The 25,671-nt window shown below is 36.3% G+C and overlaps 1 protein-coding gene and 1 long non-coding RNA gene across 8 annotated transcripts in view; one reads left to right on the top strand and one right to left on the bottom strand.

Moving 5' to 3' along the window:
* ZNF451 (zinc finger protein 451) overlaps positions 1-23,753 on the top strand; it is an 80,118-nt gene extending 56,365 nt beyond the window's left edge. For 3 of the 7 annotated variants that reach the window (NM_001031623.3, XM_011514460.3, XM_011514461.3), the window contains 6 exons: positions 538-2,141; positions 4,167-4,310; positions 5,669-5,799; positions 7,309-7,495; positions 14,532-14,600; positions 21,871-23,753. In NM_001031623.3, the coding sequence (NP_001026794.1) occupies positions 538-2,141; positions 4,167-4,310; positions 5,669-5,799; positions 7,309-7,495; positions 14,532-14,600; positions 21,871-21,917 (2,182 nt within the window). In that variant the 3' untranslated portion in view covers positions 21,918-23,753. Of the gene's footprint in view, positions 1-537; positions 2,142-4,166; positions 4,311-4,444; positions 4,671-5,668; positions 5,800-7,308; positions 7,496-11,967; positions 12,123-14,531; positions 14,601-21,870 lie in introns of those variants that run through there. The other 4 variants (NM_015555.3, XM_047418624.1, XR_007059234.1 and 1 more) reach the window with 3 other exon arrangements.
* Positions 1-25,661, bottom strand: part of ZNF451-AS1 (ZNF451 regulatory antisense RNA 1) — a 57,303-nt gene extending 31,642 nt beyond the window's left edge. The window contains exons 1-2 of the long non-coding RNA NR_110742.1: positions 25,522-25,661; positions 24,453-24,546 (exon numbers count right to left, since the gene is read on the bottom strand). This is a non-coding gene — a long non-coding RNA (ZNF451 regulatory antisense RNA 1). The remainder of the gene's footprint in view (positions 1-24,452; positions 24,547-25,521) is intronic.
* Between the last annotated feature and the right edge of the window lie 10 nt (positions 25,662-25,671).

The following is a 25,671-nucleotide window of genomic DNA, read 5'->3' on the forward strand; positions in this document are numbered from 1 at the left end:
TTCATCAAAGATCAGTAGTTTGTAGGTATGTGGCTTTATTGCTGGGTTCTCTATTCTGTTCCATTGATCTGTGTGTCTGTTTTTATACCAGTACATGTTGTTTTGGTTACCATAGCCTTATAGTATCAACATTAATCAGTTATTAAAGAATAGGAACTGGGTTGTCTAGAATCTTAACCATAGTGTTCTTACATACAGTTTAATTACCATGGAGAGTCTAATAATTTGCCTGTTCAATAAGGTCCTCTGTCAGTGCTTTTGATACAGATTTTAGTTTTCTAAAATTTGCCTGAATTTAAAAAATTTTGAATCTAGTTTTAGCCTTTTGTATTTTAACTAGAAATAGATAAAGTGCAGATAATACTCAAGTATTTTGAGATGATAGAACATCATTATGTCATTTGCATCTTTATTGAAAAGTATCTTTTAGTGCTTATTTATACGTTGGTTATTTTATAATTCCTGCAATAAAATGCAGCAATGGTATATTTAGAAAATACTTCTGAAAGACTTTCTATTTCTTTTTATCTAATTTAGAGTTCATTGTCGAAATGCTGGACCTGTAGCTGTAGCTGAGAAGAGCATTACCCAGGTTGCAGAGAAATTCATATTAAGAGGTTATTGTCCAGATTGCAATCAAGTCTTTGTGGATGAAACCAGCACCCAAAATCATAAGCAGAATTCAGGACACAAAGTCCGAGTCATTAACTCAGTGGAAGAATCAGTCTTACTCTATTGCCACAGCAGCGAAGGGAACAAGGATCCTTCTTCTGACTTGCATTTATTGTTGGATCAATCAAAATTTTCATCACTTAAAAGAACCATGTCTATTAAAGAATCTAGCTCACTGGAGTGCATTGCCATTCCAAAAAAGAAGATGAATTTAAAAGATAAAAGCCATGAAGGTGTTGCTTGTGTCCAGAAAGAAAAATCAGTAGTTAAAACCTGGTTCTGTGAATGCAATCAGCGATTCCCAAGTGAAGATGCAGTAGAAAAGCATGTTTTCTCAGCAAACACAATGGGTTATAAATGTGTGGTCTGTGGAAAGGTATGTGATGATTCAGGGGTCATTCGTTTACACATGAGCCGGATTCACGGAGGGGCACATTTAAATAACTTTCTTTTCTGGTGTCGGACATGCAAAAAGGAGTTAACAAGGAAAGATACTATCATGGCACATGTGACTGAATTTCATAATGGACACAGATATTTTTATGAGATGGATGAGGTAGAAGGTGAAACTTTGCCATCATCCTCTACAACATTGGATAATTTGACTGCTAACAAGCCTTCATCAGCTATTACTGTTATTGATCATTCCCCGGCAAATAGTTCTCCGAGGGGTAAATGGCAATGCCGGATTTGTGAAGATATGTTTGATTCCCAGGAATATGTAAAACAGCACTGCATGTCTTTGGCAAGCCACAAGTTTCATAGATACAGCTGTGCTCACTGCAGAAAGCCTTTTCATAAGATAGAAACATTGTACCGACATTGCCAAGATGAGCATGACAATGAGATAAAGATTAAATACTTCTGTGGGCTTTGTGATCTTATCTTTAATGTGGAAGAAGCATTTCTGAGTCATTATGAGGAGCACCACAGCATAGATTATGTATTTGTGTCAGAAAAAACTGAAACTTCAATTAAAACCGAAGATGATTTTCCAGTAATAGAGACCAGTAACCAGTTAACTTGTGGTTGCCGTGAGAGTTACATCTGTAAAGTCAACAGAAAAGAAGATTATAGCAGATGTCTCCAAATCATGCTGGATAAAGGAAAACTGTGGTTTCGCTGCAGTTTATGTTCGGCAACAGCACAGAATTTAACCGACATGAACACTCATATCCATCAAGTGCACAAAGAAAAGAGTGATGAGGAGGAGCAGCAGTATGTAATCAAGTGTGGCACCTGCACCAAAGCATTTCATGATCCTGAGAGTGCACAGCAGCATTTCCATAGAAAACATTGCTTCTTACAGAAACCCAGTGTGGCTCATTTTGGATCTGAAAAATCAAACCTGTACAAGTTTACTGCTAGTGCCTCACATACAGAGAGAAAACTGAAACAGGCAATAAACTATTCAAAAAGTTTAGACATGGAGAAAGGAGTTGAGAATGACCTAAGCTATCAGAATATAGGTATGGCTTTATAGCTCTATGCAAATTTCATATACTGATATTGAAACTTACAATGTACCCACCTCGATTCAATTTTGAAGCAAGAAACAGGGTAACTTCTTGATGGTATGTTAATTATTATGGTATATACATTTTAGGGGTTTGTATTCCTACTACTACATTTATCCACTTTCTAAACTTACGAGGACAGAGTATATGTTGGCTTTAAATAATATATATTTTAGATATCATTTTATTTTACAAAAGGTGTGGAGATTTTGAAGATGAAGGAAGTTGATAGTTTTTCTGAAAGTTAGATTTCAAAGTTATCCTAGTATTAATATCATTTAGATTTTTCTTGTAATATTTGGGTTAACTAAAAAGATAAATCACGTGAATTCTTTTTGTTTCTATTTGGCCATATTCTTTAGTGTGAGACATTTTAAAGGTCATTTCAGCATTTGTATATTTTTGTTATGATTAACTTGGAAGAAAAGCTTTAACATACAATTAAAATAGCAATTAGAAGTAGAGTTAAAGTGGTAGCAGGAAACCAGGGGGAAAATTGAAATATGAATTCCTTGTTTGTACTTACTCCAGACTTTCTTTCTTCCATATGATAGGATTAAGTAAGTCTAGGCAGGTGTTATGTTTTTATTTTGTTTAGAAGTATAATTTGTTTTGTTTAGAAGTATAATTTGTTTTTGTTTAGAGTATAATTTTAAGTGTATCTTCTTTTATTTGTAAAATTTTTTTGAGATGGGATTTTACTATGTTGCCCAGGCTGGTTTTGAACTCCTGGCCTTAAGCAATCCTCCTGTTTTAGCCTCCCCAAGTGTTGGGATTACAGGTGTGAGCCACCACACCTGACTTAAGTCTATATTCTTTTAAATAAATACTAATTCTTGGTGAGTTATACAATGTAGCATATTTGGGTACAGTGAGAATATGTGAAAATTTTGGCCAGTAATGTATTTTTATGAACTATTGAATTTTTAGAGTCTTGCTCTATACCATATGTAGATTTCAACATCACCTTTAGTCATGGCATGTTTTCAGTGGTAAAGAATTAAATCATGAGCTACCTAGTCAACTCTAAACAGTGAAACACTGGTTACACCATTTTATGTTAGGCCTTTCTTTTGCGCTTCTGTTTACTTTTTTTTTGGAATTTGTGTTAGTCTGTGTTTGATAGAAAATGCAATACCTAAATCTAGAATTACCGAGAAGTTAGAGAAAAGACGTAAGGTGGCTTGGAAATGGAAGGGAATGGCAGTAGTATATTTGAAGGAACTATTAGAATAGAAACTATTCATTTTTTAAATAATATAACATTTTAAAGTTTGCATTGTTACCACAGGAAACTTTAAGGCCTTGTCAAAGTGGAAAAGTATGAAACAAGATAAAGGGGAGGGAGAATGAGAGTTGGGGCATGGGGGAAGGTGAAAGAAGAATCTGAGAGAACCAAGAAGATGTGTTTATAGGGGGAGGTGTCTCTGTACCACTGGCACATATTTCTAGCACTGCTTTATGGCAGCAGGATTCTAGGTTATCTTATTTCTGCTCTCTAGGGTGTTTAATCCTAGAACTAGAGGGCTACTAATAAATCAGTCCAGACTGGGAAAAGAACCAAATTCTGGTGGTGAAAATGTTCTTAATAGGTAACCTTGGAATTTTATATGGGTGGTATTAGTTTTTGCTTATTTAACCTTAAAACTTGGTTTTCTAGTTCTTCTAGTACATTAATTTTTTAAAAAAATTCCTTGTATAAGTGACTTTTTAACAAGCTTTAGAGTTGTTGGAAGAAAATGTTTGCAAGAAGGATATATAACCAAAATTGGTGAAATGTTCAGATTATTTTTATCTGATTTAAGTGTAAATGGTGTCATGTACAGATTTGGATTTCACAAAAAGGTTTAGATAGAAATGAGTAACATTCAAGGTTAGTATTTTTGCATATTAGGCTTCTAATACTTTTTGGACTTGAAATCAGAATGATTTTAGCAAATTCTTACTGAACTCATGTTGATATTTCTCTCTTCTCAGAGGAAGAAATTGTTGAGCTTCCAGATTTGGATTACCTGCGAACCATGACTCATATAGTCTTTGTAGATTTTGATAACTGGTCAAACTTTTTTGGTCATCTACCAGGGCATCTAAACCAAGGAACATTTATTTGGGGCTTTCAAGGTACGGTTAATAAGAAAAACAAAAGAAAACTTTTTCCCACCTCTTAGAATATAGTTCAGTTTAAAAGGCTCCTCTTAAACCTTCCTGGATAGAACATAGGAACATAATTGGAATATTGTTCTTTTGTATTATAGTTACTCTGCTAGAATCGTTTTCTTTACATGCCTCTGTGGTAAATGTTAGCTCTATCTGGTGACTCAAAGTTTATGGATCTTTTGGCCGGGCGCGGTGGCTCACGTCTGTAATCCCAGAACTTTGGAAGGCTGAGGCGGACGGATCACGAGGTCAGAAGATCGAGACCATCCTGGCTAACATGGTGAAACCCCGTCTCTACTAAAAAGAAAAAAAAAATACAAAAAATTAGCTGGGCGTGGTGGCGGGCCCCTGTAGTCCCAGCTCCTTGGGAGGCTGAGGCAGGAGAATGGTGTGAACCCAGGAGGCGAAGCTTGCAGTGAGCTGAGATCGCACCACTGCTCTCCAGCCTGGGCAACAGAGTGAGACTCTGTCTTAAAAAAAAAAAAAAAAAAAAAAAAAAGTTTATGGATCTTTTGATACAGATTGAAAAAGCCTTTATTCAACACCTAAAATGTGTCAGGTGCTTTGGCTTTGTACTAACATGGTTACTGATTATTATGGTTTTATCCCTTTTAAAATACAAAGAAGCAGATGTTTTGTTTTTGTTTTTGTTTTTTTTCCCTCAAAGTTTTAAAACTAATAAATAGCAGAATTATTTGGCCTCTCAGCTATAGGACTAATGTTATTTTCAACATGCCATAACTGCCTCTTCGGTTCATCCTTGCTGTTCTTAAGTGTTCAGCTTCATCTAAACCTCTTTACAAATTGTTGACCAAACTTGGGGGAGAGGCTTCTTTGGTTTACAGAGAATCTGCTATTGTTTGTGTTTGATAGGAAATAGCATGTAAAGAGAAAGATTGGGATTAAAGATAGAAACATACTGACCTGGATAAGTTAGCCAGTATAATTGCTTTAGTAAGTTGAGCTTTGGTGATTGCCCATCATTTCTGCATTGAACGGTGGTGACATCTGTAAAAACCACTTATGCTTACACTTATAGAATAATGCCATTCAAAGAATTTTTACACACATTGCTTTTGATTTTGCCTAATATCCATGTGAGTTTTAAGATGAGTTGACAGATTCAGGGAAGTTGGTCCACTTTCTCAAGACTTTAAAGCAACAAGATGTTGATGCTTATGCTAGGATGGAGTTCTTCCACATTCTGATCTAGTACTTTGCCTCTAGAAAAATTTTTTTCTAGTATGTGTTTTTTCTTGATAAAATTTTTGGCCTTTCCTCTCCTGTTTGATTATCATTTTTGCCTTTTCTAAAATTAATAGGAGGAAACACCAATTGGAAGCCTCCGCTCAACTGTAAGATTTATAACTACCTGAACAGGATTGGATGCTTCTTCCTTCATCCTCGCTGTAGTAAAAGAAAAGATGCTGCTGATTTTGCCATATGTATGCATGTGAGTCATTGTTTTATTCAAAATCTAATGTGAATCTCAGACCCACTTGCATTTTTTTCCCCACTTGAATTGTAATGAGACTTATAGATCATTCTTCAGTACTTCAGGTTCTACCTATGACTATTATGAAGGCAGGACCCCATAGCATATTTTTATTGCTTTATCCTCAACTTCTAGCAAACCTTCAGCTATCCATAGTAGACCCTCAACTATTTGTGGGATAAATGATCAAGAGCTGATACTGTTTTTTGGGTTTGTTTTTGAGACAGTCTCGCTCTGTCACCCAGGCTGGAGTGCAGTGGCGCAGTCTCGGCTCACTGCAACCTCAGCCCCCTGGGCTGAAATGGTTCTTGTGCCTCAGCCTCCCAAGTAGCTGGGACTACAGGAGCATACCACCATGCCCAGCTAATACTTGTATTTTTAGTAGAGACGGGGTTTCTCCATGTTAGCCAGGCTGGTCTCAAACTCCTGGCCTCAAGTGATCTGCCCGCCTAGGCCTCCCAAAGTGCTGGGATTACAGGTGTGAGCCACTGCGCCCTGCTGATGATACTGTATTTGATATATATTAAGACACTTTCATATTTTAATATCTCTAAAATTAAGAGGTACCTTAACAATCACTGTTGGCCTAGACAGAATTTGCATTTGCTTCTGTCTCTGCTGGGTACCTAGAGAAACTGCCAAACTGAGACCCACTTTAAATTTTCTGCTTGGGGACTTACATGTCACACTGATAATGTGAATTTACTCTGCAAACTTGTTGACTGCAGCTTATGGTTTAAACAACAAAAGATTTCTTTTTCAGTCTATCTAATGCCAAGATTGAATCATGCAAATTGCCTTGCTTACCTTTTCTCTATGGCAGATTTATTTCTTATTTACCCTTATATTGAGCGTATAGCCCTTTGGCATTTCAACCTTATGTGAGGTCTGTTGGACTTCCATTTTGGCTTTTTCTTTTCATGGCACATTAAATAGCTTATATAATTTAATGGCATCTTATATTTGATTAAATGTGGGGTATTTCATTTATGAACGAGTTCTTTCTTTCTCTCTTTTTTTTTTTTTCCTTTTTGAGACGGAGTGTCACTCTGTCGCCCAGGCTGGAGTGCAGTGGCGCGATCTTGGCTGCAACTTCTGCCTCCCGAGTTCAAGTGATTCTCCAGCCTCAGCCTGGAGAATCCCGAGTAGTTGGGATTACAAGCGCATGCCACCACACCCAGCTAATTTTTGCATTTTTTAATAGAGACCGCGTTTCACCATGTTGGCCGGGCTGGTCTCGAACTCCTGACCTCAAGCGATCCACCTGCTTTAGCCTCCCAAAGTGTTGGGATTACAGGCGTGAGCCACTGCACCCAGCTGAAGGAGATCTTTATGTCATACTTTGGTAGGGACTAGGGAACAAGCTTAATATACCTTCCTAGGCATGTGTTCATTCTGAAATAGATGTAACTTGTTTTGAAACTCATGCTGATTTTTTATCAACCTGTGCCATTTGTTCTAACTTAGGCTGGCCGTCTAGATGAACAACTACCCAAGCAAATTCCTTTCACCATCCTCTCAGGAGATCAAGGTTTTCTGGAGCTAGAGAATCAATTTAAGAAGACTCAGAGGCCAGCTCATATACTAAACCCTCACCACTTAGAGGGAGATATGATGTGTGCCTTGTTAAATAGCATATCTGATACCACCAAAGGTACGCAGCTGCAGTCACAGTGCAAACCACCCAAGAGGAGGAGACTTCACTGCTGAGAGAAACCAATAAACTGCTGTCCGCTAGTGAACTGTTGCCTGCTTGCTAAACCATCATGTTCTCTTACTTCTATCTTACTTATCTTTTTTAAAAAAATCTCACTTTCATTCTTTAGTGTTTTAGAAGGAGGATGAATTCATAATAATTTTCTGGAGCTTTTTTTGATCTAGTAGATAAAATCTATATTGATGTATATAAAACATATATTCATGTGTTACAGTATGTTACTACAATTTTAAAAGCTCAGAATTCAGATCTTCACTTTGTTTCTGAAATTCCAAGTTGACCTTCAGTTTTTTAGAAAGCAGTGCGCTTAGAGGTGAAAACCAGAAAGCAATAACAAAGGTGATCATTTAAGAGGTTGACAGTGACAAAATAAAACGCTGATAGGCTTTTAGGTCCTTAGAGAAGTGGGTACATCCTATCTTATTGCTGGGACTTGCACTTTCTTCTGTACCTTTGTGAGATTGTTCAATGAAAGGAGTGCTGATACCCAATTTCACTTCCTAGTATATAAGAAAAGATGTAATTCTAAGGATTCAGAAGTTTTGTTTTTCGTTTTTCATAATTTCTGCAGTCAAATGCTCTACCACTGAGTTATAACCCCCTTTTTCATAATCTCTGAAGTAAAGAAATATGGATAGAATAATTAATGTTTAAATATCCTAATAATTTAAATTCATGAATAAGGTTTGAAGATATTAATGAATTACCTTAATGAAAAATAGTGGCTTTTTGGCATTTTTATTGTGTGCCTTTAAAGCTTTCAAGTCTGCTTGCCTCCTAGATTTTTTTTTTCTTTCAATATATTTGGAAGCACATTTTGATTGAAAACTCATTCTGGAGAATTTTGCTGTAATCACTGATTACAGTGGATCAATTCACTTCTGCAAAGTTAGGAATCAGTAATCTGTGCTCTTTATACTCTTTAAAGTGGAGTAATGATGGAAGATTATAAAAGAAAATGAACTCTTGTGTCTTTATGTCATGCCTTAGTTCTGAGTATTATCTTCCTATTCTGTAATTTTTGTTTTCACTTGTTTTTCTATCTGTGGCTTTCTTTTTTCTTAAAACAAAAAACAAAAAAACAAAAAAAACAGGCTGGGTGCAGTGGCTCACACCTGTAATCCCAGCACTTTGGGAGGCTGAGGTGGGTGGATCACCTGAGGTCAGAAGTTCAAGACCAGCCTGGTCAACATGGTGAAAACCCATCTCTACTAAATATACAAAAATTAGCTGGGCATGGTGGCGGTTGCCTGTAATCCCAGCTACTCGGGAGGCTGAGGCAGGAGAATCGCTTGAACCCAGGAGGCGGAGGTTGCAGTGAGCTGAGATTGCACCATTGCGCTCCAGCCTGGGCAATAAGACCAAAAACTTCGTCTCAAACAAAAAGCAAAACACCTCTTCTACTCTTTTGCCATCGCTTTCCCAGTTCTCAACATCTACTTAATATCCTATAAGATAAAGTTTTACCTTTGCCGCACAAGGCCAACCTCCCTTTCCTTCTCTTATGCTTCTGCTTTTGGGAACATTTCTTTTATAACTCCAAATGTGAAACCTGTTATGGTTTTGCAGAGGCAAAACCATATTCTGTTTGGAATGAGAGGTGAATACGAGTAGACTTGCATGGGTATATTACAGTTGGAGGTAAGATACAGGTTATTAATATCTGCTGATTATGCCCTTCCAAATGACTCTTATGTTCTAGGTATTCTTTTTTTTTTTTTTTTTTTTTAATCACTCATACTCAGTACTCATTTGAACTAACTACTCTCTGGAGGCACATGTGTACTTTATTCTTAGTTTTTGTGACATACAGAGATTGTGCACTGCATGAAGAAGGATATGGGCTTTGGTTCAAATGCTAACTTTGCTGTTTCCTAGCAGCGCGATTTCAGGCATGTTACTTAACTTTTTTGGAGCCTCATTTTTTTGTATTTATATGGTTGTAATAGTTAGTGATGTATGTAAAGTGTCTAGCACAGTATATAAAGCACTTTAGCTATTTAACAAATAATAGCTATTTTTTATTATTACTACCATAAAAAGAAAATGTGATTCCTAGCCACTACATTTTTAATGTTACACTGAATCATAGTATGTTCAGGCTTAGTTATCTGATTTAAGACCAAATTTTTTCTTCATGGAAGACTTAAAACCATCAAATTTCCTGTAGTGAACTTTATAAGGAATCAAAGAAAAATCATTTTCTTGGATAACTTTTATTCCATTTCCTTTCCTAACAAATAGCTTTGTGAATAGTTGAGTAATAGTTTCTATTAAGGAATGGTATTTAATGTATAATGGGACTCAATAAATCTCTCAATGTCCATTAATAATATAATTTTTGTTACTAAAGAATGCCAGATAACTCCTTGCACATAGCTAAACATGGTGTTCCTTCTTGTTTTCAGATTTGACAGCCAGTCAGTTTCTTAAGGCAATGTGGTTTTTGGGGTGAAGGGGTCACTGGACCTTTTTGAGAATCTGATGAAAACTTTCTATACCCTCCATCCCCCAAAATAAACATGTATGTACTACATTGCATACAATTTCAAGGGATTTGTGGTCTCAACGCTTCTAGATGCCAATCAACAAACAAAATTGTCCTTTGGGATGTAACCTAAGTTTATACTATAAGTCAACAGTCCCCAACCATTTTGGCACCAGGGACTGGTTTCATGGAAGACAATTTTTCCATGGATTGGGGGCAGGAGGTGGGGCATTAGATTCTCATAAGGAGCGTACAACCTAGATCCCTTGTACGTGCAGTTCACAATAGGGTTTGTGCTCCTATGAGAATCTAATGCCGCTGCTGATCTGACAGGAGGAGGAGCTTAGGTGGTAATGCTGGCTCACCTGCTGCTCACCTCCTGCTGTGCGGCCCAGTTCTTAACAGGCCACAGACTGGTACTGGTCCATGGCCCTGGGGTTGGGGACTCCTGCTATAAGTAACATACAGTGATAAGTTCTTTCATATTTGTTATTATATAGCCAGGCTAGTGATTTTTCAGATTTTTGAATTTTTCACCAGAGCATAGAGAAGTTGATACAAGTTTGAGTCTCTTATTCTTTATAAGTTTTCAGAAATTTACCATCAGCAGGACTAAAAAGTGGTTTTTATTAGACTAAAGATTGCTGTATAAATAGGAAGGATCTTTTGAATATTGTTATCAGAATCGATCATATGGTATCATACTAGGAGAAATTAGTCTTTGCTAATTTCTCTGTTAATTGAAAGTCTTTCCAGAGGTACTTATTTCAGTAAAAATACAGATATTTGGAGTTCCTGGTTCTGTATATCGGTGTCCAGTCATTTGTTCCTAAGGCATTGTTTTAGCATGGTGGGGAGGGGAAAGGTTAAGTAGCTTTATTACTGGTACATTTTTAGGTCTCTGACTTGGTTAGTTAGGGTAAAAGTTCTTTTCTCTACTTGTAAGCATCAGGGTTTCAACATGAGCATTTTAATTACGCTATGATATATGTATAAATTCTTGTAGAGACATTTAAAAAGTCTATTAACTTTAATTTCTGCCCCCACCTTGGTCTTCTTATCCTTCATCATTTCTATTTTATATTGTACTTATCCTCACTTTCTTAACACTTAAGATACATGGATCCTTTCTGGTAATCCCAATCAGAGAAGCCAGGTAGACTTTCTTAGACCATTTATATTTTATTCCCAAATACTTCATTATTCTAACTCAAGCCTCATGTTTCAGAGATGCAGATATAACTTGTCACTTAAATGTTGAAAGAAAAAAAAGGTGAACTTTTTAATTGAAAAAAGTTTATTGAAGTTTATTGTAGTTTATTGAAGACTACTATGTGCCAGCCACCATGTTAACTGCTTTTTATGTTTGTAGTGTTTACAGATGTTTAAATATGTTGAAAGAACTTCTTCCATATGCTTTTTAATCCCCTTTGCAAGCTACGAAGTAGGTGTTGGATTACCCCATTTTATAAGTGTGGAAGGAAGCACAGGTTCAGAAAGGTTAAATAATCTACCTGCAGTCACAGAGCAAGTGCTTTGCTTTTCATTAGTATCAACGACTGTGGTTGAGACTTTCACTGACACAAATACCTGATTCCATGATGTAGAGCTAGCCACCCAGTGTGAATTACTGGCTTTAACCATGTCCTTGAAGAATGAAGATAATGGGAAATATTCTGCCACAGTATAGGGACATTGCAGAGTTTATATAAAGATATCAAACAAGTTTTTTATTTTTAAATAACATTCAGGAAGAATGCGCTTTTTTTTTTTTGTCAGAAGAAATGATTTGGTTGTGAGTTCTGGTGCTTTAAAAAGTAAAGTGATTATATGCTGAATATAGCCAAGGAAAGCAATTAGCATTCTAATTTCTTTAGGATCTTTTGTCTCATAATTAAATGAATAAACACCATCTTTACAGGCTCCTCGAGATGTTGGCACTAGAACTACAAGCACTGCAGTGAGCTTATTGGAGTACTGCAACATGTGGTTTCAAAGAAATTCACTAGAAACCTGCCTCCCATTGCTTCCTCTACCTTTCACTTAATCGATATAAATGTTCCAGGGCACACAGAAGTTAGTATTTTCAGTGTTTTCTTATTTGGGCCAGTATCTGCTCCCTTGAGAATTACATGTAATGAAAAAGATGTTACTACAAGATAATTTTTGTTGAATCTGTATGCTCCTTAGATGGTCTTGTTTATAAGCCTGAGACTGTCATATCCATTTAGTTGTGGCTTCATTGTGGATGAGTGGGTTAGAAGCAGTAAGTAGGGTTGGCATCTATGAGTCATACCAATTACACAGATTTTTAAATCCATCTTACATATAGAGCATAAACATTCACCTAGGTGCTATGGAAGTGTAGATGATTGAAGCAGCATCATGGCCTGTGGACTAGGCATTACCTAAAATAATTGTTGAACTTATTTCTTAAAGTCTGTCTGCCTGTTGTTTCCTCAGCCTGTTAATGAAAACTATAGGTTGTTTCTTTGGGCACCATTATAAAAATATGTTGATAAAATTAATTCCATGCAAAGGTACTGAAAATAAGAAAGAATATTTACGATTTTCTCTGTTCTTCTGATGGGGTTGATGGAGGCAAAAGAAACCTTTTATGATATTAATATTTGCAACCCCATGTCAAGTTAATCCTTGACAAATCAAGGATTTGTCATTATTCAAACCTGTAGTGTAGCCTTAGGCCTTGCATGCAATGATGAATTGTTTGGATGAGTTATAACATGCTGCTTTTGACTGATCTTGACTTTAAATTGTAATAACAGAAAGCTGTGGGTATTTTCCTTTTGTTCTTAATGTTTAGAGCAAGCTTGTCTAACCTGTGGCCCACGGGCCACATGTGGCCCAGTTCAGCTTTGAATGTAGCCCAACACAAATTTGTAAACTTTCTTAAAACATTATAAGAGTTTTTTTTTTTTTTTTTTTGCGTTTTCTTATTTTGCTCATGGGCTATCATTAGCGTTAGTGTATTTTATGTGTGGCCCAAGACAGTCTTCTTCCAATGTGGCCCAGGCGAGCCAAAGATTGGACACCCCTGGTTTAGAGGTTTAATTTTGTTCTTTAATTTGTAAATGTAATGTTTTATTTACCTAAAACACTGCTTGAAATATTTGAAGTATTTTGCTGGAATTAATAGCAAAGATGACTTGTAAAAACAAATTTCTGCAGCAAAAGAATATAGTGAAATATAGTGATTTAATTTTTATTTATAGACCCCTAAAGGGCTTTTTAATGTATATTTTAAGTTTTTAAGTTTGCACAGAAACAAATATGTCTATATGATTTGTATTTAGTTAGGTGCTGATTCAAGTCACTGACATATATATCATATATAGATGCATATCTGTTTATATTTGTATAATTATGTCTTGATATAAATATATATTGATTTAAATGTAGTTAAAGTGATAAGCACAATATTAGGTCATTGATAGTACAATGTTTCAAATTTTTTAAAGGTGAACTTTATTTTTCAGTATGGTTTTAGATTTACAAAAAAGTTGTGAAGATAGTACAGAGTGTTTCCATGTACCCATACTTAGTTTCCCTTATTAGTAACATCTTATGTTAGAGTGATACATTTGTCATAATTCACGGAACAATATTAGGACATTATTACTAATTCCAGCCTTTAGTTTTCCCCAATGTCCTTTTTCTTTTGTTTTCTCCCCTCCCCTCCCCTCCCCTGTCTTTTCTTTTCTTTTCTCGTCTCGTCTCGTCTCATTTCATTTGAGACAGGGTCCCACTCTTGTCACTCAGGTTGGAATGCAGTGGCGTGATCTCAGCTCACTGCAACCTCCACCTCCCAGGTTCAAGCGATCTTCCTACCTCAGCCTCCCAAGTAGCTGGGACTATAGGTGCGCACCACCATACCTGGCTAATTTTTTGTATTTTTGGTAGAGACAGGGTTTTGCTGTGTTGCCCAGGCTGGTCTCGAACTCCTGAGCTCAGGTGATCCACCCACTTCGGCCTCCCAAAGTGCTGGAATTACAGGTGTGAACAACCACGCCTGGCCTCAATATCCTTTTTCTACCCCAGGACCTCTTGGGATCCCACATGACATTTAGACATTAATCTCCTTAGGCTCCATGGTTCAAATTTTAAGTGAGTTTTGCAGTGCCTTTTCAGTCATACCGTATTATAAAGCCTTCGGTCTCTTATTATGAAAGCACGTAAGACATCAGGTAAGTAAGTTTGTGCTATGCAAGAGGCATTGTTAATGAAAACCTATGGTGTTATCTCCATAGAGATGAATGCATATGATTTTCAAAACAGGAGAATTTAATGTCACCATTTTTAATATTATTTGGCAAGCACTGGAAAAAACCTAGTGTGGGAAAGTAGTGTAACACTAATGAACTGTATTATAATGAGTAAGCTTGGGTATGAGCAGTTATTGAAAATAATATTGAGAATACATAAATTTATGGCACAATAACTGCATGTATTGATTCTTCTTTACAGAATGTGACAGTGATGATAACATGGGTGCCAAAAATACTTCAATAGGAGAAGAATTTATATCCACAGAAGGTAACCTAATAGAGTTAATCTCTTTTCTACTTGACTGTATCTGTATTTTTTTTTTAAATTTCTCTGTCTCTCACCCATTCACCCCTCTTATTCCCTTCTACCCCCAAGTTAAAACATTTTCTCAGTTTGGATAGCTTTGCATTTTTCATGTAAGATGACTTAGGGGTAATACTAATTTAGAAAGCTAGAATGGGTCAGCCAATTATGGCCCTTGGGTCAAATCCAGTCCACTATCTTTAGGAACACAGCCATACATTTAAGTATTGTCTATGCTATTGCTTTTGTACCACAACTGCAAGGTTGAATAGGTATGGCACAGACAGTAGAGCCCCTCCACCCCCGCCCCCCTCAAATAATTATTTTCTAACCCTTTAAAAAGTTTGCTAACCCCTGGGCTAGGAGATGATTTTGATTTCCTAATTGTTACTTATCTTGAGTAGTATTAAGAGTATTAAAAGACAGGCAGTAGAACTCTAAAAGCAAGCACTTATATCTAAATATAAATGGGCTTTTAAAAATAAATTTTAAAAGGGTTTTTTTTGTTTGTTTTTTGTTTTTTTGAGACGGAGTCTTACTCTGTCACCCAGACTGGAATGCAGTGGTACAATCTCAGCTCACTGCAACCTCTGCCTCCTGGGTTCAAGTGATTCTTGTGCCCCAGCCTCCACAGTAGCTGGTATTACAGGCGTGTGCCACTAACACGCCCAGCTAAAAATTAAAATTCTCTTTTACTCTTCTTAAAGGAAAAGCTATTTCCTTCCATAGGTTAAAGAGAACTTTTTATGTCACTTGGCATCAAATCATTTGCTGGCTGTACCATTATTTGGTTGTGTCTTGTAACCATTCTTTACTTTGGTTTTTCTATAACAGACTGCACTTTTTAATAACCTGGGGGAAATGAGATAATGAATCTTAGAAAATACTTTGAGCTTCACTGGAGAAGTTGAAAGTGTTATATCGGCATCTTTGACATTAAAGAAAAACAGTAGGAGTCTTCATGTACATTCCAGTATAATGTTTATTGTTGGAGATTATAGGGTAGGAATGTGGAGGCTGGAAAGTAGGGATGGAAATGTGACTAAACACACACAAACAGAATGGCCCAACTGGTATGTTTTCTTTGCATTTCCTTGATCTCAGATAATACAACTAGTTTGACTAAGAGCATACTAGAACTTTATGCTATTAGGAGTTTGGGAAATGGAGTCTGGCAGTGGAATCGATTCATCCATTAGATTAAGTAGATAGCTGTAATCTTTCTGCCTTATAGCCAAATTTCATTGGTTAAACAAAACTGGCCATAAATCTATACCTAATTGGAAGGAAGCAAGTGTTTTGACCAACTTGTTTTCCCAGCATGGTCTTTCAAGGTCTAGCTCAACGCTTAGCAGCCACATAATGATGAATTAAACAAATGAAAGAACTTTTGTGCGTTTTGAACAAAAACTGCCAATTAAGTTGTTTATCAAGGCCACTAAAAGATAAACAGTACTGAACATCTAAAGAGTTCAGATTTTGCAACTTGTATTTGACACCTCGTGACTCATCCCATGGAAAATGCCAGGCAAAATTATAACTTTTAAATAATTATAAGCTATCACAGTTTTGTGGGCTCCTAGCTAACCTAGGAAATCTGAGATTTGTGTAACTGGATATGTACCACATATTATCTATGTAATGCATTTTATGGTTTGGAGGTGGAGATGTTACATTTTTGTGATTATTTGGTTTGGAAAAATAATTATTTTTATAGGATTCAAGAGAAGACACTTTAAACCTATAACTAGTTGTCATAGTTAAAATAGAGGTGGGGATAAAATCCTTTAATTCCAAGAAAAACCAAAGGAATGTGTTTGTGTTTTGTATCCTGATGCTTTATATAAAATAAATGTGAGAAGCATATGGTGGTTCACTTAAGTTAAGGAATATGGGCTCCTTTGCACTTTTCTCTAACACCCTTCTTCTTTTCCCCTCCTCATCACCCCAAAAGAGCTAACTCGAATTTTATCTCTTAGGTTGAACCATATAGAATTGCCATTTTTGTAGGCACTGTTGTATGGTCAGTGCCTTTCCTAGATTGTCCATCTTTAGACACAGCCAACCACTCTCTATTCTGGGCTCCCTCTGTACCAGGCCAAGTGGATTTAAAATACTTCTGTCTATAACTTTCATCTCTGCTGACTGTAAGCTCCTTAGGGAGTAGGATCATGTTTTATTTATCTTTACTTCAGCAGCACCTAGCACAGTGTTTGGCACAAAATGGTTGCTTGTTAAATGAATAAACTTTTTTTTTTTTTTTTTTTTTTTTTTTTTTTTGAGACGGAGTCTCGCTCTGTCGCCCAGGCTGGAGTGCAGTGGCGCGATCTCAGCTCACTGCAAGCTCCGCCTCCCGGGTTCACGCCATTCTCCTGCCTCAGCCTCCCGAGTAGCTGGGACTACAGGCGCCCGCCACCACGCCCGGCTAATTTTTTGTATTTTTAGTAGAGACGGGGTTTCACCGTGTTAGCCAGGATGGTCTCGATCTCCTGACCTCGTGATCCGCCTGCCTCGGCCTCCCAAAGTGCTGGGATTACAGGCGTGAGCCACCGCGCCCGGCCTAAATGAATAAACTTTTAACAAACTTAAAACATGTTAGAGCCACCAGGACCCATTTCCCTATAACTGGATAAGGGAAATTAAGATAGAGGCTATTTTGTTATAGAATATTGGGTTATTTTGTTGACCCTGAACCACAGAAGCAAAATAATGTTCTAGTCTAGACCTGATAACAAAACTCAAAAAAAATTTTAAGCAACCTCTTAAGTGTCTTTTTATTCCTTCCTTTCCCAGTACAACTCTGTAAATGCCTGAGAAATAGTGGCAGAAGACAGGATAAATCTGCTTATGGCTTTTTGCCTTAGGGTAATTCCCTCCTTCCATGATTTGTGTTATTCTTTGTTGTTCCTCATAGACCAATATCAAACTCTGACCACGCAGGCCAGTCATAACAATCCCATATAATCTAGTTCCTTGTACTTGACAGAGGAAACAGATGCCGCATAATGTGGTGGTGAAAAGTACAGTCTTTGGATTCATACTGCCTAAGTTAAAACTCTGCTGCTTACAAGTTGTGTAATATTGGACAAGTCACTTAACTTCACTGTGCTTCAGCTTCCTCCTCTTAAATATGGGAATATTAGTATACCTACCTTACTAGAATAACATGACATATGATAAATAGTATATATTGGTTGCTGCTAATGTTACTGGGATTATGATGATCATTATGCCATTATTTACTTATATGTTCATCTAAGGTCTACTCTAGAGGTATGTCTGTTAACTAGAGGTATTCTGACTCAAATTGCTGGAAGAGACAGAGGACAGCATTATATAGATAATTTTCTTTGCAAAACCATCTTTCTGTAAATGTTAGCAATATGCCTTATTCTGAGAATTCCTTCAATTAATAGCAGTCAAAACTGCTCTTAATCTTAACAACTTGTGAGAGTCAGACTATTCTCTTCATTTTATATGAAAACTGAGGCTTCTAAACATTAAGTAATTTGGCCTTACATCCACAGTTTTAAAATGATTGGGAACCATTTCTATATGTCTTCTACCTCCTACTACTGGTTGTTTTTGTTGTTTGTTTGCCATAATTACTGCTCTCAAAGTAAATGAAATTAAGGCAGAAAGAATGGTAAGGGGAACACAGAGCTAGCCACAGAATAGAAAAACAAAGACAGATTTTTCACAATTGCTCTTTATTTTTTCATATGGCTTCAAGTTACTGTCTGATGTCCTTTAATTTCAATCTGAGAGATTCTCTTTAGCATTTCTTGTAGGGCAGGTCTACTAGTAAATTCTGTAGCTTTTGTTTATCTGAGAATTTCTTTAGGAATAGTTTTGTCAGATATAGAATTCTTGATCGACATTCTTATTTTCTGGTCTCCATGGTTTTTTATAAGAAATCAGCTAGTAATTTTATTAAGGCTCTCTTGTATGTGATGAGTTGTTTCTCTCTTGTTGTTTTCATTGTCTTTGGCTTTTGACAGTTTGACTATAACACGTCTCAGTGTGGGTCTCTTTAGAGTTCATTGAGCTTCTTGGATATGTAGATTCACCTCTTTCATCAAATTTGGGAGTTTTTCAACCATTATTTCTTCAAACATTCTTTCTGATCCTATTGCACTTCCCCTCTTGAGACTCCTGTAATGCATATGTTAGTTCACTTGATGATGTCCCACAGGTCCCTTGGACTCTGTTTACTTTTCTTCATTTTTCTTTCTGTTCCTCATACTGGATGATTGATTGATTGATTGATTGATTTAGACTGAACTCAAACCAAGACACACACTGGATAATTTAAATTATACTATCTTTAAATTTGCTGACTCTTCTTTGTACTCAAATTCATTAAGCCCCTCTAAAGATTTTTCATTTTAGTTATTGTACTTTTCAGTTCCTGAGTTTCTATTTGATGGGCTTTTAATAATTCTGCCTCATTATTGGTACTCTTAATTTTGTTCATACATTTTTTTCCTGGTTTCCTTTAGTTCTTTGAACATACATAAGACAGTTGGCTTAAAGTCTTTGTCACCCATGCTATATCATGTAGCCTGTTGCTCCTAGTCTACAAACCTGTATAGCATGTTATTGTGCTGAATACTGTAGACATTGTAACATAATGGTAAATATTTTTGTATCTAAACATAGAGACATAAAAATACATAAAAAATGGTATACCTGTATAAGGTACTTACCCTGAATGGAGCTTGCAGGATGGGGAAGTTGCTCTGGGTGAGTCAGTGAGTGAGTGGTGAGTGAATGTGAAGGTCTAGGATGTTACTGTACTCTACTGTAGATTTTATAAACACTGTACGATTAGGCTATACTACTTTTTTTTTTTTTGAGACGGAGTCTTCCTCTGTTGCCCAGGCTGGAGTGCAGTTGTGTGATCTTGGCTCACTGCAACCTCCGCCTCCCAGGTTTAAGCGATTCTCCCACCTCAGCCTCCCAAGTAGCTGGGATTATAGGCATGTGCCACCACGCCCGCCTAATTTTTGTATTTTTGGTAGAGATGGGGTTTCTCCATGTTGGCCAGGCTGGTCTCGAACTACTGACCTCAGGTGATCCGCCCACCTTGGCCTTCCAAAGTACTCGGATTAAGACATGAGCCACTGTGCCTGGCCTATACTACATTTAAAAAAATTTTTTTTTCTTCAGTAATCAGTTCACCTTAGCTTACTGTAACTTGTATAAACTTTAAAATTTTTAACTTTTTGTCTCTATTGTAATAACACTTAAAACACAAACACTTTGTACAGCTATAGAGAAATATTTTCTTTATATCCTTATTCTATAAGCTTTTCCCTACTTTTAAATTGTTTTATTACTTTTAAAACTTTTTTGTTAAAAACTAAGACACAAACACATATATATTAGCTTAGACCTGCACAGAGTCAGGATCATCAATATCACTTTTATAAGTAGCAGTACCCTCTAAAATAATAATAAAAAGTATAGTAAATACATAAACCAGTACCAGAGTTTATTATAATTTTCAAGTGTTATGTACTGTACATAATTGTATGTGCTGTACTTTTATACAACTGGCAACATAGTGTATTTGTTTACAGCAGCATCACCACAAACACATGAGTAATATGTTGCACTGCAACATGAAGATGGCTATGACATAATTAGGCAATAGGAATTTTTCAGGTCTATTATAATCTTATGGGACCACTGTTGTATATGTGATCCACTGTTTACCAAAAGTTGATACGCAGCACATGACCATACTTGCTTTTTGTTTTTTATAGTCTTTCAGCTGGCAAGTTTAATCCCTATAAGCTCACTGGAGGTATGATATCTTTGTATAGATGTTGCTGTACTTAATGATGGTTTGATTTATGATTTTTTTACTTTATAAGGATGTGAAAGCAATATGCATTTAGTATAAACCATACTTCAAATTTTGAATTTTAGTTCAAAGATTTTTATAACTTTAATTGTAAAACAGACGTTGTGATTTCGTATATATATACACACACACACACACACACACATATATACATATAACCTACTATCATTTGTTAAAAAGACCTTTCCCTGTCATTCTGCAGTGCTACCTTTGTTATAAATCCAGTGTCCATATATGCATGGGTCTGTTTCTGAGCTGTCTATGCTGTTCCTTTGGTCTATTTATTCTTGCACTAGTAGCACATTATTAGTTACTGTAACTTTATAATAAGTGTTCATATCTTAGACAAGTCTTGTCCCCTTGTTTTTCTTTGGTAAGAGTGTCTTGGCTTTTCTTTGCATTTCCTCATCCCTTTTAATTCATCTTAAGGGCAACTAACTGATCCTAGAGTGTAGCTTTAACTTGATACACAGTTCATGCTAGTTTATTGTACTTTAAATTAGACAACATAACACTAGTGCCCCCAATCAGAGGAACATGCGGTTGCATCTTAGGGAGATCACTGGTGCCTGTAGCCAAGTAGCCTCTGAGAGACTGTGGACCAGATGGGATGAGATAAATCTGGTGTGAGAAGCTAGTGAAGGCCAAGAAATTGACACCAAATTTCACCCTCCTGGATTTTAGCATCATTCCCAAGGAGGAGATGGAACTCAACTATTGTGAACCCAATAACGTCTGTCTTGTTCACTATTACATTGCTGTTCCTGGTATATAATGGGCATTCAATAAATATTTGTCAAATGAGTTTACATACATCTGCATACAGCATATATTATATGCTTCTCAGATGACATTTATGTGGCTATGAGTTTCACTACCTTAGATGCTAGGATGCTTTAAGCTAATTTTTCCCCAGCTTTATTGAGGTATAATTAAAAATTAAACTAAATTTTTAATGGCCTGTGACATTTTGTCATTTCATGGAGTTGCCTTTCTGTTTAAAGTCTTATATGTATCACCTCAAGTCTTTTAGCAAATAAGTGATACAGATTTTTTTTTAAATGTTGAAACAAATGATTACCTGTCAGTGATTTTAAAAGTTTGTTGACTTTCTACATTCCTAAGTGGAATTAACTTGCAAGTTCTAAGTTCATATATAAAATTCAATTCAAGATCATGTCTAGATTTTCATATTTCAAAATACTCAATTTTTTAGTAGAGAAACTGCCAAGTTATCCTGTGTTTTTCCATTTTGATTTTACTTTCCTTCTTGAAAAGAATACAGTCGATGAAACTTAAATAAATACAGCACATGTTGAGTTTTCTGCCCTAAGTGTTAAAATTCTATGTTTTTTAATGCAGATGTGGAATTAGAAGAAGCTATTAGAAGAAGTCTTGAGGAAATGTAATTAAAGATATTACCACACAACATCAAGTGGCCTTGAAGAGACTGAGATAACGAATTCTTGAGTTTGTTTTCTAAAGGAGACCAGAAATCCACTATTACAAATGTATTTGAAAACATGTTTTTGCTTTCATATGTTCAAAATCTGATCTTTGTTTTGTATTTTTGTGCTAATGTGCAAACATGTACAGAAGAAATAGAATACATGTTCATGCAAATATAAATTATGTATTCTAATATAGGTGTAACAGTTTCCCAGTTAACTTTGAATTTATATATTTAGATTTAAAGGATTAAAAAAAAGGAAAGCTCTTGACAGTTGTTTCCCAAATAGCATTAGTTCTTTAATTTTATTTGTACTGTACAAATGATGCTAGTTTATTTTTTTAGCAGTGAAAATGAATATAAAAAAGGTGACATAGGTCAAGTTTTCCATAAATTCTACTTCTCATGTGGCACTATTATATAATACCTTTGAGATCTTTGTTTATGTTTATTAGAAGAGGGTAATGGAAACTGATCATGGAAACATTTAAAATTTTATCAGCAATGTTCTTTGTGGGTGCCATGCATATGTAAATTATTGCTTTAATTAGAGCAGCACATTGCTAAAATAAAAAATACACCTTAATTTTTAAGAAATAATTTAAATGAAACAATTTCCATTCCTTTTACCTGCTTAGACTTTTATGTGACTTGTATGGTCTCCTGGTTAAAGGGAATGGTGTCAGAATATTTGCATAAAATTATTTTTCATAACAGTCCTTTTTTATATATTGGTGTAAACATAATATTCTTCAAGAAATAATGTTGAAAGCCTACTCAGGAATAATCTTCCTTAACTCTTTAAATTTTTATTTCATGTGAAGTGTTTTCAGTTTAGTTATTCACTGAATTGTCAGTTTCCTTCATTTGGTATTACATATTTAATTCTTAAATATTGAGGCCCCATTGTGAGTAATAAAAAATACGACATAAGTAGAAGACTAAGAAGGGCTTGTCATATTATCTTTGTGTATATGCTTCATGTTATTTAACCAGAAATGTCTTATCTCTAAAAATTTTTAGTAGTAATTATTTACCAAACTTAAAAACATTTCTATAAATATAAAGCTTTTCTTTATATTTAAGACAAAATATAAAGGCTAGAATTTGGTTCCTTCTCTGTAACACTAAATATTTTAGTGTGAAATTGAATTTTTTTATTACTATAGTCTTTTCAATCTATAATTTGTGTTTTTAATTTCTTGATATGTCACTTCTGTTCCTCCCTGCTTGCATTTTTTAAAAACTAGACATTGTGGCTTGAGAATTTATCAATCATCTTTCCGAAATGACCACATTGTGCTTTTAGTTTGTATGTTTAAGTGGTCAAGCAAGGCTCTAGGAGGTAGTCACTGAGCTGGACCTTAAACACATCTGCAGGAGCTCACAAAATGGGAGCAAAAGAGGCATTCCAGAAAGAAGAGTAGTTAAGCAGATGTGGGGGCAGGGCAAGAGGAGACAGCACCTTGTTGCCAGAGATTCTACACAAAGGTGTGATGGACACTGATGCTCTATTAAGAAGCTTTTGTGGTGTGTGTGGTAGAGAATAATTAAGGCTTCTGATAAGACAGGAAAGGGATATTTCATCATGACTGTTAAGAAAAGGTAACTGGGTTGTTTAATGTTTTAATTGATAATTGTCACTGATCGTATTTCTACTTGTTAAATAATTAAAAATCATCTTAAAATTCATACTTTGACTTTAATTTAGACACAAGGAGATGTAATCGCTGTGTAACATCAGAGAAAGCTATATGGATTATCGTCAGAAGTAAATGTTTCTAACATTGACAAAGATGCTTATCTTTTCATTACATCATTCACTCATTAATTCATTCAATCACAAAATATTGAGTACCCACCATGTGCCAGCAACTGTTCTAAGCACTTGGAATATACCAGTAAGCAAAACAAAGCCCTTACCCCTCTGTGGAGCACATATTGGTGGAGAGGAGGGGATTGTACAATGTTAGTAAGCAAGGCAATAAAACTGCATATCTGATGGTGATACGTGTAACGACGGAAAATAAAGAAGGGAAGGGAATAAATAGTGCAGGGACAGGGAGTTGGGGGGAGGCTTGCTATTTTTAATAGGGTTGTCAGAAAAGATCTCACTGATAGGTAAACTTGAGCAAAGACCTGAAGAAGGTGAGGGAATGAGGATGAAAATACATATCGGGAAGAGAGTTCCAGGTGGAGGAGGTTAAGGTCCAGACAGGAGCTTAGTATATTCAAGGAAAAGCAAGAAGACTAGTATGGCTGACAGGATGAGCTAGGAGAGTAATAGGAAATGAACTTACTGAGGTTTTTCTAATGACCTGGGCTTTTACTTTGAGGTAAGGAGCCAGTGAAGGTTTCTGAGAATAAATGGTATGATCTGCCTTATTTAGGATTGCTGTAGTTGCTGCACTGAGATAACATGTACATGAGAGGCAAGAGTAGAAGCAGGGAGACCAGAGAGGAAGGTATTGTAGTATTCCAGGTGCAAACTCACCAGGTAGCTTGAACCAGAATGGTGGCGGTAGAATTGGGAAGAATCTGGATATATTCTGAAGGCAAAATTGATGGGGTTTACTAATGGTGTGGATCTAGGATAAGAGAGAAAAAGAGTTCAGGATGATTCTAAAGTCACTTGATAGACTTTCAAACCACTCACAAAATGTGTTTTGTTTTCGTTTGTGTCATGATAAAGTTATTTTTAATAAGGTCAAATAATCCCCTACCCCAAGAGTTAATTAGGATTTAAAATGAGTTCAGAGGGAATTGGGATCCAGCCTTAAGGGCTTCAACTCTGTTCAAGTATTTAAATGGCTTTGATCTCTGATTAAAGGTGGTGGCTCAGCTTTAAACTATTATTATCTATCATTTTCTGTGCCCTGTACATTGTCATCCTTGCAATGAGAGGCATAGAGCTATCAGGAGAGGGGACTAAAGCCTAACTTTTTAAGTAGACTAATCTTTGTATCCTCAGCTCTATTCCGTCTTTTACCGACAGCTGGTGCCTGACCTAGAGGCCTACTGCATCTTTTTTGTTAACAGGATTTTTAAAAGTTGAGGACTTTTTAATGCCAATTATTTCACTCAGAATATTTATTTATTTATTTATTTTTTTGAGACAAGGTCTCGCTCTATCGCCCAGGCTGGAGTGCAGTGGCGAGATCTCGGCTCGCTCAACAGGAATAATTTTAATAGCAAAAATTTAAAACCCCTTCATTAAGCCAGGCGTGGTGGTTCACATCTGTAATCCCAGCACTTTGGGAGGCTGAGGTGGGAGGACCGCTTGAACCCGGGAGGTCGAGGCTGCAGTAAGTCGTGATCGCGCCACTACACTCCAACGTGGGCGACAGTTAGACCCCATCTCAAAAACAAAAGAAAATTAGAATGGTAAAAATGAAGTAAATTCACTTTGCTTCCCACATCTAGCTAGACAGGGAAAGATGGAGTAGCTTTTTCTTTTTTACTTCATAGCTTCAGTGTTGTCCGGGCTTTCATTACTCTCATCTCAGTATAAAGTGGTAACAGGAAGGTCAGGTGAGTGTGGGCTGCCTACGAGCTGTACTTACTGCCTTCTGTTTCACAAAAGGACGTTTTCTCCCCATAATGTCGTTGTTCTTGCTTTGAATTATGGGTGCTGGGAGAAACTAAACGAAGCCGTCACTGAGCAATACACCCACAGCCCGTCGACCGATAGGAACCTTCGCGTGGGGGGAGTT

Source organism: Homo sapiens, chromosome 6, assembly GCF_000001405.40.
Source record: "Homo sapiens chromosome 6, GRCh38.p14 Primary Assembly".
NCBI classification, from domain to species: domain Eukaryota; kingdom Metazoa; phylum Chordata; class Mammalia; order Primates; family Hominidae; genus Homo; species Homo sapiens.